Source organism: Homo sapiens, chromosome 1, assembly GCF_000001405.40.
Source record: "Homo sapiens chromosome 1, GRCh38.p14 Primary Assembly".
Lineage (NCBI taxonomy): Eukaryota > Metazoa > Chordata > Mammalia > Primates > Hominidae > Homo > Homo sapiens.
In genome coordinates, this window is record NC_000001.11 from 200,516,740 (window position 1) to 200,531,569 (window position 14,830).

General features: G+C 45.8%; 1 long non-coding RNA gene across 2 annotated transcripts; it reads right to left on the bottom strand.

Annotated features, from left to right (window-relative positions):
- Positions 1-2,838: 2,838 nt before the first annotated feature.
- On the bottom strand, positions 2,839-14,300 carry LOC107985459 (uncharacterized). Of its 2 annotated transcripts, none has more exons than XR_001737816.3 (3): positions 14,205-14,300; positions 5,067-5,169; positions 2,839-3,205 (listed from the first exon to the last, which is right to left on the bottom strand). It is a non-coding gene; the product is annotated as an uncharacterized LOC107985459 (long non-coding RNA). The 2 variants fall into 2 exon arrangements; XR_001737817.2 differs by lacking the exon at positions 2,839-3,205 and adding an exon at positions 4,095-4,181.
- Between the last annotated feature and the right edge of the window lie 530 nt (positions 14,301-14,830).

Below are 14,830 nucleotides of genomic sequence, written 5' to 3' on the forward strand. Positions count from 1 at the left end.
TGAGATGATTTCTAAGACATTGCTATGGGAACCAAGCAAGGTAGAGAACAGTATGCACAGAACACACTATTTGATTTAAAAGGTGAAAATTATATATATTTGCTTATAAATGCATAAATATCTATGGAACAACACATAAAAAACTGGTAAAACTAGATGGCTGGGGAGGGAAGAAGGCTTTTTTTTGCCACCCTTTTGTGCCTTTTGGATTTATTTTTATTTTTATTTTTTGGGATGGAGTTTTGCTCTGTCGCCCAGGCTGGGGTACAATGGCACAATCTCGGCTCACTGCAACCTCCGCTTCCCCAGTTCAAGCGATTCTCCTGCCTCATCCTCCCAAGTAGCTGGGATTACAGGTGTGCGTCACTACCCCCAGCTAATTTATGTATTTTTACTAGTGACAGGGTTTCACCATGTTGGCCAGGCTGGTCTCGAACTCCTGACCTCAGGTGATCCGCCCACCTTGGCCTCCCAAAGTGCTGGGATTACAGGCGTGAGCCACTGCACCTGGCTGCCTTTTGGATTTTTGAACCAGATGAATGCATTAACTCTTAAGGAAATGAATAAATAAAGCCTCTTATCAGGGACATTTGTGGATGGGTTTTGGCTGGGTACTGTACACAGTGATTTACACAGATATGGCCTCTGCCTGCCAGGAGCTTGGGACAGAATCAAACCTTAGGGAGAGGAGAGGCCCAAACAAGAGCCCCACTAAGAGAAGCCAGTGATGGGCAGCCGGAGGGCTGGAAGTGCCCTCCCACCCAGAACCGAGCTCTGCCCTGCTGTGCTTCCCACTCCGGGCTCTCAGACGTTCGTGTGTTGTGAATCATTTTAGGTTTGTTTTCTTTGCGTTACAACTTGACCTGTTCTAATTTGTTCTTCTAAAAGAAATGCAGTATACGGGTTTGTACTTACGGATCCGATGAGTCTCACAGAAATAAGAACAGAACTGTCAGAGGAGATGCCTCAGAGCAGACCTGTGGTACAAAACTTCATGTCTGATGTCCCTGGAGTGTAGCAGCACAAATCAGGGAACCCAAGCTGGAAGATTCTGTGAATTTATCATGACCGCCAACAAAGCATTATCATGGTCTTTACTTTATTTATTTATTTTATTTTATTTATTTATTTTGTTTTTGAGATGAAGTCTCTCTCTGTCACCCAGGCTGGAGTGCAGTGGCGCGATCTTGGCTCACTGCAACTTCCGCCTCCTGGCTTAAAGCAATTCTCCCACCTCAGCTAGCTGAGTAGCTGGGACTACAGGTGCGCACCACCATGCCCAGCTAATTTTTGTATTTTTAGTAGAGACAGGGTTTCACCACATTGGCCAGGCTGGTCTTGAACTCCTGATCTCAGGTGATCCACCTGCCTCAGCCTCCCAAAGTGCTGGGATTACAGGCATGAGACCCTCGCCTGGCCTATTTATTTATTTTAGAGAAAGAGTCTCACTCTATTGCCCAAGCTGGAATGTAGTGGTGCGATCATAGCTCACTACAGCCTCGAACTCCTGGGCCCAAGTGATCCTCCTGTCCCAGCCTCCCAAGTAGCTGGGACTACAGGCATGCGCCACCACACCTGGCTGATTTTTAAATTTTTTGTTGCGACAAGGTCTCACTATGTTGCCCAGGCCAGTCTCAAACTCCTGGGCTCAAGTGATCCTCCCACCTCAGCCTCCCAAAGTGCTAGGATTACAGGCATGAGCCACTGCACCTGGCTTATGGTGGGCTTTATTAATGTAATTGCTGGCTTCTTGCCCAGTGTACTCTCAATTTTACTATCTTCAAGCCTCAGGAAAAATCTAAATTGACTAGGATTTTTATTTTCTTCTGGTAATGGGGAGAAACTCATTATTATGAGAAATATTTTATTAAGTGGTATATTAAAATACACTTAAGTTTTAGTGTGAGTTCTGCTGACACTTCATTTTCAGCCAGGTCACCTAGCCCTGTGACATCATCAGTGGAAATTAATGTTCTGGAATAATGACAGTGCACACAGCCTAAGTTACCAAGGAAAGATCTGCTTGTGCATGCCCATATAAGGACATTTAAATCATATTCTGAGAAATATTTGATGACACAGGAAAGTGTGCATGAAATATAAAATGTTAAATGAGAAAGGCAAGATGCAGCATGCCAAACATCTTTTGTGTGTGCGTGAGAAAGACTGGAAGGAAATTAAAATTTTAAAGCTGTTATTATTTCTGTGCAGTAAAAACTATTGGTGATATTTATTTTCTTCTTTTTCTTATCTACATTTTTACAAATGAGCTAATGAGCTTTTTTTTTTTTTTCTTTTTTTTTTTTTTGGAGACAGAGTCTTGCTCTGTTGCCCAGGCTGGAGTGCAGTGTTGCAATCTCAGCTCACTGCAACCTCCGCCTCCAGGGTTCAAAGCAATTCTCCTGCCTCAGCCTCCTGAGTAGCTGGGATTACAGGTGCGCACTACCACATCCGGCTAATTTTTGTGTTTTTAGTAGAGATGGGATTTCACCATGTTGGCCAGGCTGGTCTCGAACTCCTGACCTCAGGTGATCTGCCTGCCTCTGCCTCCCAAAGTGCTAGGATTACAGGCATGAGCCACCACGCCCGACCTAATATTTTCATAATTAGACACAAAGTCTAATTTTTAGAAAGATTTCAGCCTGGGCAACATAACAAAACCCCATCTCAAACAAAATACAAAAATTTGCTAGGCGTGGTGGCATAGGCGTGGTGGCATACACCTATAGTCCCAGCTACTTGGGTGGCTGATGTGGAAGGATCACCTGACCCCAGGAGATTGAGGCTGCAGTGAGCTGTGATCATGCCACTGTACCCCAGCCTGGGTGACAGAGTGAGACCCTGTCTCAAAAAAAAAGAAAAAAGAAAAAGAAAGAAAAATTTATTTGTATTTAGTGTACTCTACTAGCTAGGAGCAATAAATTTGAGCAAGATATCCAGCAACTCTGAAGTGCTGAAACAAAAATACTCAATTTGCTAAACCATTGCTCTCCCCTACTCACCGATGAATTGAGGGTTCCTGTGCTTTGAACAACATTTCTGTGATGAACAGAGTTTGCTGCAGGGATCATAAGCACCTGGGGTCAGCTGCTCACCTGAACACATCCTATCCTGTGGAAATGTGTGGGTGGTGGCCAAGCCTCTCACCAACAAAGGAGGTTGTGTGGCATTTCTTGCAACCTGATGCGTCTCGATTGATTCAGACCTGTTAGTGGGGACCATTAGGAGGATAAAGTTAATAAATAATAAATAGCATATTTACACAACCCTCGCGATCCCCAAAGACCTTAAAGTGCTTTATAAAAGAATAGATAAATTATATATTGGGGACACATTCTCTGCTACTGAAACGCAGCCTCTTCTGGGGGGAAAAGTGGCAGTTGTTAAATGGTGCACAGTCCAGATGGACAGGAAGCCCAGAGGTTCTTTTTTTTTTTTTGAGAAGAGGTTTGCTCTGTAGTCCGGGCTGGAGTACAGTGGCATGATCTCAGCTCACTGCAACCTCCACCTCCAGAGTTCAAGAGATTCTCCTGCCTCAGCCTCTCTAGCTGGGATTACAGGCGTGTGCAACCATGCCTAACTAATTTTTTGTATTTTTAGTAGAGACAGAGTTTCACGATGTTGGTCAGGCTGGTCTCGATCTCCTGACCTCAAATGATCCACCCACCTCGGCCTCCCAAAGCGCTGGAATTACAGGCATGAGCCACCGCGCCCAGCCTCAGAGCTTCTTTTAAAGTTAATTTTACCATTAGCCGGGCGTGGTGGTGCTCACCTGTAGTCCCAGCTACTCGAGAGGCTGAGGCATGAGAATCGCTGTAACCCAGAAGGCAGAGGTTGTAGTGAGCTGATATGGGACCACTGCACTCCAGCCTGGGTGACAGAGTGAGACCCTGTTTCAAAAAAAGAAAAACAGAGGTTAATTTTACCAGAGGAATGCAGATTTAAAAAAACAACCAGTCACTGGACAATCAAGGAAAAAGGTAGAGGCACCCAGCCCTTAGCAAATGGAAGGAGTAGAAAGAATGAACCCACATCTGTCCAGAAGAACCAGAATCCCACCTCGGCCTGCTCTATCATCTCTTCAGAGGCTGCGGCCAACGAATGCATCTTCCTGGTCAATTGACAAGCATTAGCTGTTGCTGGGGAAATCACCTGAATTGCACAAGCCTCGGTTTCCTCATCTGTAAAATGAGGATGTTAATAATACAACTGAGGCTACAGCCATGCTGCAAGGATTAAATCAGATAAAACAGGAACAGTGCCTGTCTGAGAGAGGTGGTAAAGGGACAAAGTTTCTTTCCTTTTTTTTTCTTTTTTTTTTTTGAGACAGAATCTTGCTCTGTCGCCAGGTTGGAGTGCAGTGGCGCTATCTCAGCTCACCGCAACCTCCGCCTCCCAGGTTCAAGCGATTCCCCTGCCTCAGCCTCCCGAGTAGCTGGGACCACAGGCACGCACCACCATGCCCAGCTAATTTTTTGTATTTTAGTAGAGACAGGGTTTCACCATGTTGGCCAAGACAGTCTCGATCTCCTGACCTCGTGATCCACCCGCCTCGGCCTCCCAAAGTGCTGGGATTACAGGCATGAGCCACAGCGCCGGGCCTTTTTTTTTTTTTTTTTTTTTTTTGAGACAGAGTTTCGCTCTTGTTGCCCAGGCTGGAGTGCAATGGCACCATCTCGGCTCACTGCAACCTCCACCTCCCGGGTTCAAGCGATTCTCCTGCCTCAGCCTCACAAGTAGCTGGGATTACAGGCATGGGCCACCACGCCTGGCTAATTTTGTATTTTTAAAAGAGATGGGGTTTCTCCATGTTGGCCAGGCTGGTCTCGAACTCCTGACCTCAGATGATCCACCCACCTCAGCCTCCCAAAGTGCTGGGATTACAGGCGTGAGCCACTGTGTCCAGCCAACAAAGTTCCTTTCTACTTTACCCATGACAACATTTTTGCATGCCTGTCAGGTTCAATGTAAATATGGAATTTTACTTTTAAAAATGATAATTGTGTGGGATCTGGATTTTAACTTTTAAAAAATGATTAAAGGTGAGTTAGGAAAATACCTCATACCTCAGACTTTGTTGAGGCCCTTGAGGTTACTGGGTTCTGCACGTATTCATTATTCTGTGTCAGACTAGAAGAAGCCACATCTTCCCGAGCAATGTTGACTGGACTACGGAAGATTGAACACAAAATTAACACTGAGTCCTGTCTCAACAGATCTCCAAGTAGGTACCTTGTCTAACCTGGAAAACTGTCACATCTCCTCTGAAGGTGGCATAAGATTTATTCCAAGCTCAGGCCTCACAGAAATCTAGATTTGATACATCTTAACCCATTCAAAGACAGAGATAATGGCAAGGGATAAAGAAAAAACCCTTCCTTCTAGAAATATAATCATGAAAGTTCTCACTCTCAAGGGGTTGTCCAAGGGGTGTTCAGGAAAAAGGGCTCGTGCTATAAATTTTCCTCAGCACTGCAATTTTTTTTTTTTTTTTCAGACAGGGTCTCACTGTGTCACACAGGCTGGAGTGCAGTGGTGCCATCAGAGCTCACTGCAGCCTCAATCTCTCTGGGCTCAGGTGATCCTCCCACCTCAGCTTCCCAAGTTGCTGGGACTACAGGTACACACCACCACACCCGGCTAATTTTGAATTTTTTTGTAGAGACAGAGTTTCACCATGTTGCCCAGGATGGTCTTGAACTCCTGGGCTCAAGCAATCCACGTGCCTGGACCTCCCAAAGTGCTAGGATTACAGGCATGAGCCACTGTGCCCAGCCAGGACTACAAAATATTCTATCACCCAGATTAGTGGTGGAGGTGGGAGGTTAATCCTAAAGCAATTCTCTAGATCAAAATAAGAGCAAAGCTATTCTGGATATTACTGGTAATGATAGCCACCACCTCTGGAACACTTACAATGTGTCTAGCCTGTGATAAACCTTTGAGATAATCCTGGCGGCTCACAGTGTGATACATAGACCAGCGGCATTGCCATCACCTGGGAGCTTGTTAGAAAGGCGGACTCAGGCCTTGTCCCAGACCCACTGAGTCAGATCTGAGTTTAACAAGACCCCCAGGTGATTCGTGAGCACACTATGGAGTGAGAAGCACCAAACTGCAGATCTCATAGGCAGCCTTTCAGAACACTTTGCAACTTCATCCCATGTGGTCCTTGCAACTCTGCAATGTGGAGTTTCGAGTAACCACAAGGAAATGTTATTTGCCCAAGATGGCACAGAAAGATACAGAGCTGGGCCAGGAGCAGTGGCTCACACCTGTAATCCCAGCACTTTGGGAGGCCAAGGCGGGTGGATCACCTGAGGTCAGGAGTTCAAGACCAACCTGGCCAATATGGTGAAACCCCGTCTCTACTAAAAATACAAAAATTAGCCGGGCGTGGTGGTAGATGCCTATAACCCCATATACTTGGGAGGCTGAGGCAGAAGAATTGCTTGAACCTGGGAGGTGGAGATTTCAGTGAGCTAAGATCGTGCCACTGCACCCCAGCCTAGGCAACAGAACAAGACTCCATATCAAAAAAAAAAAAAAAAAAAAAGAGGCCCGGCACGGTGGGTCACTCCTGTAATCCCAGCACTTTGGGAGGCCAAGGCGGGTGGATTACCTGAGGTCAGGAGTTCAAGACCAGTCTGGCCAACATGGTGAAACCCCCATCTCTACTAAAAATACAAAAAAAATTAGCCAGGCATGGTGGCATGTGCCTATAATCCCAGCTACTCAGGAGGCTGAGGCAGGGGAATTGCTTGAACTGGGGAAGTGGAGTTTGCAGTGAGTCAAGATCGCGCCACTGCACTCTAGCCTGAGTGACAGAGCAAAACTCTTTCTCAAAAAAAAAAAAAAAAAGATACAGAGCTGGAACCTAAGCTCAGGTCACTGATTCTCTTTCTTATGCTGTTTTTAGATTAAAGTTGTCCTAACCTTGTTTTCCTTTTTTTTTTTTCCTTTTTGAGACAGGATCTCACTCTGTCACCCAGGATAGAGTGCAGTAGCGTGATCACCACTCACTGCAGCCGCAACCTCCTGGGCCCCAGTGATCCTCCCACCTCAGCCTCCTGAGTAGCTGGGACTACAGGTGTGCACCACCATGCCTGAATGGGTTTTTTTTTGTTTGTTTGTTTTGTTTTGTTTTGTTTTTTGTTTGTTTGTTTGTAGAGATGGAGGTCTTACTATGTTGCCCAGGCTGGTCTTGGGTTCCTGGGCTCAAAGGATCCTCCCACCTCAATCTCCCAAAGTGCTGGGATTACAGGAATGAGCCACCACTCCAATGGCTATAACATGGAGGGTAGAATGGGGTACGATGGCGACTCAGGTGACCCTGGCACCCAGTGTCCCCTTGCTGGGCATGTCTGAAAGGTCAAGCCACTGCTTCCCTTCCTGACGTGAGTAAGTTTAGCCAGACTTTTCTTCCTTGAAACTGCAGTTTCTACTCAGCACCATGTCACTGCCTATCCAGATTGGAGTACTGCAGCTGAGTGAGTAAACAACTGCTAATTCACAAATGCCTCCCAGTGCCTCCTCTACTCCTAACTGCTCCCTGATATTCTGTAGCAGCAGGTGGGCTCCAGGTCTCTGGAGGAAGGAAAACAGGTGAAGAGCTCAGAGGAGATTTTCAGAGCTTGCTGGCTGTGAGGGAGGCCCTATACTAGGTGCCGTGGGGTGGTTGGGAAGTGGTTACCTCTAAAAAGCAAGAATTTGAGAAAGGGAGATAAGGAAAGAACAGGAAAAAAAATGAAAACAGCTTTGACTTTTCTCCAGACTTTGAAATCTACCGATTTAGCCTTTAATTTTGTACCGAGTTCCACAATTTAGAAAGATACTTGGGCCAGGCATGATCGCTCATGCCTATAATTCCAGCACTTTGGGAGGCTGAGGCGGGCGGATCACTTGGGGTCAAGAGTTCAAGACCAGCCTGGCCAACATGGTAAAACCCTGTCTCTACTAAAAATACAAAAATTAGCCGGGTGTGGTGGCTTATGCCTGTAGTCCCAGCTACTCAGAAGGCTGAGGCTGGAGAATTGCTTGGACCTGGGAGGTGGAGGTTGCAGTGAGCCAAGATTGTGCATTGCGCCACCACACTCTAGTCTGGGCAACAGAGTGAGACTCTGTCTCAAAAAATAAAAATTAAAAAATTAGAAAAAAGATCTTTGATCCTCAAAAACTAAAATAAATGAAAATAAAAGTAAAATAAAACCCCATCCTGGATGCAGGAATCTTTTCACTTCCACACCCCACCTGCCACAACCTCTAGTAGGGACCTAAATTCTGACACAAAGTCATGACTAATGGTGGAAATCCTAGCACCGGAGAAGGCCACTTAGATATTTGGGGGGCAGAGCGAGAGATCTTTCCAATCCCCTAGCGATCACATCACATGGAAAACAGTCTCTCTTTGTAAGCCAGCATCCAGCTGCAGAAGGCTGCATCAGCCAAGAGCCTGTCATGTTTGAACTTGGGAACCTGGAGGTGAGGATTTTTGAAGAACACCTTCAGGAGCAGTGAAGTGACTCCAGGAGAGACAAGAGGATTTGACGGAGAAGAGGCTAAGTGAGCATTCCAGGCCTCACCAAGAACAGCATTGGTTGCCTATAAATCATGCCTCATTAACTAGTGCCCTGCCTTTTCTCTTCACAAATCTATTCTGAAGTTAGCTGAATAGACAAAAAAGAAAAGAAAAACCTTTGGAGTTCTCTGGTTCCCATCGTGTGCTCTTTTAAGTAAAGGGCTTCTCTACATTGCCAAAAATCCCTGCAAAGATGACTTCCCCAGACTTCTTCCCCAAATGCCTTTTTAATACTGTGTGATTATTGCTCAAGGGACATCCAGGAGCCAAGTCTCTCTGCATAAATCACTAGGAACTTTAAAGGAGACCCATTCTTACTCTGAGGATTTAGAAAATACGTAGTGAGTAAAAAATCTATTACATCACAATGTGTGCATTTTCCAACAATGATTACCAGGGTTATATTCTGCGGCTGGTAGATTAAAACGTGTCACCGCCAATACTTCTATTTCTTCTAAAGAATAAGGCAGGGAAACCAGCCACTGAGAAGACAGCATTGTAACTGCTGAGTCAACTTCATTAATGTTGTTGGGGTTATTCTAATTCTTAAAAAAAGAAAAAAAGAAAAAAGAAGAACTACGGAAACATGAACTGTTACTGTTCTAGAAACCACTGAACTTTCTGACAATTGCATGTCTACTTCAGAGGCAATGAGGGTAAACTGGAAAATTCTAAGCACAGATAAAATAGGGCAGGAGCCTCTGGGAAGCACTCGTGTATTTGTTACTAACCCAGTTGACTAATCCCAGGACCAACAAGGTCCAAATTGATCTAGGTTTCACCAGAAACATGATAGCTTCACTTACAGTGTTTCCTGAATTTTTTTTTTTTTTTTTTTTTGAGATGGAGTCTCTCTGTCGCCAGGCTGGAGTGCAGTGGTGCAATCTCGGCTCACTGCAACCTCCACCTCCTGGGTTCAAGCAATTCTCCTGCCTCATTCTCCAGAGTAGCTGGGACTGCAGGCGTGTGCCACCACGCCTGGCTAATTTTTGTAGTTTTAGTAGAGATGGTGTTTCCCCAAGTTGGTCAGGATGGTCTCGATCTCTTGACCTCGTGATCTGCCTGCCACAGTCTCCCGAAGTGCTGGGATTACAGGCTGTGGGCCCCTCCCTGAGCCACCATGCCGATCCTAGTGGAAATATTGATATAACCTTCAATCAAATTTGACATTTTGCAAGTGTTTCCCAACAGTGTTTTCTGAGTATTGGGCCATGGGTATCAAATATATGAAATTTCAACCATTCTTCAATGCCAAAGTAGCAATGCACTTACAAGAGTCATCTGATCCAGGTTTTAGACCTTCATGGAAGGGTTATCCTATAAATATCAGAACATCCTTACAATGATGTAAAGTGAATAAGTGAAAAAGCATTCCTTTTGACAGTAGGTTACAGAATACCCAGCCCCACTGTAGGACAATGATAAAGTGCTAAGAAGCACATTTACACCTGCAGCAGATGCCAAGGGTAACAGTTGAAGGTGTGTTTTGCAACAGAAAGGGCAATCACTAGAAACACTCCTCAGGGCCACACAAAGCTTGACAAATTGGGCTGTGCTTGTTCCAACAGCTGGCTAACTACCCATCTGCCGGTCCCCCATGGGGAGCTGAGAACTGGTGCACCTGTGAAATCAACCTGGGAGCCTGGGGAAGCATTGCACCCCTGCAGCTCTGACACCCGCACCTCCACTCCACTCTGAAAGCCAAGCTCCGAGAAGTCAAGGCCTGTATGTCTTCCTGGGTTCCCCCAAGGGACCAGAGGTCAGAAGAAGCCTCATCTTTCCTTAGACAAGCTGCCAGTAGAGTTGTACTGCTTTCTGTCTCCATACCAGCCACCATGCTGTTTCCTGGAAAAGCTGAAGATACTTGCTCCAGCCCATAGCTCTGTCTTTCCTGGGATAAAAAAGGCTTTTCAGGCAATAGGTGACCAGGTCCAGAGAGGGGCCCACCGCCTGCCAGGCCCCCATGCTGGGGGCTTCTGGGCCTGACTGTGGGCAGAAATGGGCTGTCTGGACTCTTTCCTGTCATGGAACTGCTTGCCTCTTTGCCCGGTCTGATGACCACACCTACCAGTTGAGCCCCTTCAGCAACCTTTCCCCAACCCCCAGATGTTAGCACTGTTTTGGTTATTAGTCATGGAAACTTAATTGCCTCATGTAACCCAAAAGTCCAGAAGAGCAAATCCTCTCTTCAGACACAGCTGGATCCAGGAAGTCAATTGACATCCTTAGGCCTCTGTTTCTTTTTCCCTCTCCTTGGTCAGGCCTAGGCCACATGACCATGGCCAAGGATGGAACACTGCAATTGGAATCAGGTTCACATGATTTAGAATAAGGAAAAAGCAGTTCACCAAATGCATGAGGGATGCTAGACAGAAAAAAAAAAATCACTGTTCAGTACAAGACACTCGGGAGCTTCTCAGACTGGGGATTCTACTCTCAGCTACCGTGGCCATCCATCCTCAATCTCTAAGGAAAAATGTGCCCCACCATACTCCAGATGACAGAGACACTCAGAGCCCTTTCATTAGGCACGCCACAGATATTTGGCTGGCTGTCAATCATGTCTTATTAAGCCCATCCTCCTGAGGCTCAGCTGTTTTACACGATGCCTTTCTACTGCCCCTCCTGAAGGCATTTTTGTGATTTCTTATGCTACTTCCTAGAGACACAACATTTATAGCCAATCACACAAGAATTCTACTGTGCCTGCTGGACTGCCAACTGGCCATGTGACTTTGGGTACTTTAAAATAAAGAAGTGGCCGAGTGCAGTGGCTCATGCCAGTAATCCCAGCACTTTTGGAGGCTGAGGCAGGAGGATCGCTTGAGCTCAGGAGTTTGAGACCAGCCTGGACAACATAGTGAGACCTCATCTCTACTAAAATTCAAAAAAAATTTAGCCGGGCGTGGTGGTACACACCTGTAGTCCCAGTTACTCAGTGGCAGGCGTATGTGGGTGGGGGGTTGAGGTGGGAGGATTGTTTGAGCTGGGGAGGTTGAAGCTTCAGTGAGCCCTGATTGTGCCACTGCACTCTAGCCTGGAGAGCAGAGCAAGACCCTATCTCAAAAAATAATAATAATAAAATAAAATAGGCCAGGCACATTGGCTCACACCTGTAATCTCACCACTTTGGGAGGCCGAGGTAGGGGGATCACCTGAGGTCAGGAGTTCGAGACCAGTCTGGCCAACATGGTGAAACCCTGTCTCTACTAAAAATACAAAAATCCCAGCTACTTGGGAGGCTGAGGCAGGAGAATTGCCTGAACCCGGGAGGCGGAGGTTGCAGTGAGCCGAGATTGCACCACTGCACTCCAGCCTGGGCGACAGAGCAAAAATCCGTCTCAATAAATAAATAAATAAATACATAAATAAATAAAGATAAAATAAAATAAAATAAAATAAACAAAGAGGTGTAGCGCATGACTTTCGTGTTCTTTGTATCTCCGCTGTTCTGTGATTCATTGGTCCTAGACGTCATGTGGTCTTTGCTAAGGGAACTAGGATGATGCTATCATTGAATTCTGTTTAGTAACTCTCTGTTCAAACTGCACTTATGCTTTAAAGAGTTGGGAAGTTAACTCTATCATTATTTTAGTGTGGGATCAGTTACCTTATTCTGGGATTGTCTCCACAAAAGCTGGCTGGTTGCCCTCCAGGTATCCTTATCGAAGCCGGGTCTACTCAAATGAAAATCACCGCCACTGGGCCATGCCCAGCTTGGACTGAGCACATGAATCATGTGGCTGTGAGTGATTGTCCCAGCCCAGGACAGTCCCCTGCTTTGTCCTTGCCCATGGGAACTAAGGAGCATCATTCAAAGAATAAAGACCAAGCCCAGAGCTGACAACTAGCTGCCTGGTTTTTCCATCCATGGCTCAAACTCAAAAGAAGAGAAGTGTAAAGCCACTTTAAGAAATAGTAAGTGTCAGCAGAAAATCAGGTTTAAAAAAAAAAACAAAAAACTGCATAACTGAAAACACCACGAGTGACTCTGTGAAGCTCTCCCATTAACATAAGGTCTCAAAGAGGCTGCAAGAGGGGAACAGGACCCCTCAGTTGTAATTAGAGCCACTAACATAAAGCAAGCCAGATTTACTGGAGTTTTTGTTTGTTCTGAAAGCTCAGAAAGGTGAGGTGGCCTGATTTCCTGGGTATTATACAGCTGGGGGGAAACCTAACAGTTATAAAACTGGTTCAAAGCTGCCTGCATGATTTCATATTTTAAAAGTGAAGTGTGAAAAATCTTTTTAAATTTTACTTGCATTAGATCACCTTCTAAGGTTACTAAAGCTCCTAATTAGAGGGCAGGATTCATTTAGAATGAAAAGTGGTTACCATTTTAACCAGTGATAAAAGCTGGCAGACCCCTAAATGACTAACAAGAATGGAAGGTAATCAGGAAGCACTTCTGTTTTACTAAACTGTAGCACCTTTTGCAAATATTGCTAAGTGGTCACCTCCAGCAGCGAGGTAGGATGTTTGAAGGTGAGACCTCTCACCAGAGTGCACTAGGTTCAAATCTCAGCCCTGGCCCTTGTTAGCTGTGTGAATTTTAACCTCTTCTCCGTGTATAAAATGGTGAGCTTAAGGGGCTCCTGTAAAGATTAATGAACAATGTCAGGCAGTATGTGAGTGTGTGGGCATCTCTTTAAATGTGCTTATCCACCAGGTATGGTGGTTCACACCTGTAATCCCAACACTTTGGGAAGCTGAGGCAGGCAGATCACTTGAAGTCAGGAGTTCGAGACCAGCCTGGCCAATATGGTAAAACCCCGTCTCTACTAAAAATACAAAAATTAGCTGGGCGTGGTGGTGCACACCTGTAATCCCAGCTACTCAGGAGGCTGAGGCAGGAGAATCACTTGAAGCCGGGGGGCAGAGGTTGCAGCGAGCCAAGATCGTGCCACTGCACTCCAGCCGGGGCAACAAAGTGAGACTCTGTCTCAAAAAATAAATAAATAAAATAAATGTGTTTATCATATTTCCGGAATGGTTAAGCATATACACTCTCATTTTTGTGGATTGCATTGGTTGGCTCTGTGCTCTATGTCATTTTTCTGCCTCTCCTAGAGGCTTTGGTGTTTGCAACAGGAATTTCAGTCTTCTTGACTTGATAGGGAAAAAAAATGTGGGGGCTAAAGGGCCACCCTGTAAACCCGACCCCATTAGGTGACTGCAAACCTTACAGAAATAAATGAACATGTCAGTGCTGGTTTATGTGTGAAGTGAGGTGTGTTCCCTAACCTGTCAGCAAGCCATATTTTATTTGGATAAAGACCCTAAAATCAAGCACATTTACAGGCTGTTGCAGCCACTCCCATTCTGCTCAGCTAAGCAGCTGCACCCCCCACTTCCCCACAGTGCAGCTGTGATCCTTCCTCGGGGCCCTGGGCTCCTGCATTCAAGCTAGTTCAAAGCATCGAGGCCACACCACCACATCCTCTGCACTCCATAGAGGTGCAGTGGAACTGAGCCCACATTAAGCCAAAACCTCCAAAGAAGCAAAATTTTGCATTTTGTAATGGCTGGTGAGATCGGCATCTATGCTGCCTTACCATGCCCTATCCCGGGGAGATCTCAGAGAGGACACTACTAAAGTCTCCCACACCTCGCCCATGTCACTTACCTGAGTATGATGTCAGGTGAGAGTATGGTCCTATAGCAGAAGACAGGTATTTGTAGTAGAATCTGCTTGTGCCTGCATGTGTGTGTGTGTGTGTGAGAGAGAGAGAGAGAGGAGAGAGAAGAAAGAAAGCCACAGTTAACACTTATTTGGCACTAACTTTGCACCTGGGCACAGTGCTAAGTCACTTTCACACAGTCTCCCTCCTCCTGCAACAGACAAAAGGGCCTTTTCCCTTTATGCCCTCTCTTTCTGAAGACCTGTCTCCTTCCGCTCTCTGCAGACTTTCTTTCCCCCAGAAGTGAACAGGTTTCACGGGTATTGCATGTTTTCACAGCCTCTGGTGGGAGGGTGGGCCCCAGCCTCCCTCTCTGTTTCGCTGCTGGGTAGAGGAGATGGAGCAGCTTCTAGTCCCAAGAGGGAGGGGAAAGGGGCAGGGAAGAAATGATGTGGGGTGATTCCTTTTCTCCTTGTTGCAGTTTGGTAGATTCCCTCCCCTCCATTTGTTTTTCTTTGATTATCACTTAGGAAAAGGGAAAGTCAATCCTATTAATAAGCCTCATCAAGTCTTCATTCAAGATCAACTCCTCTATTAACATGACTTTGACTTTATTACGTGAATGAAACAT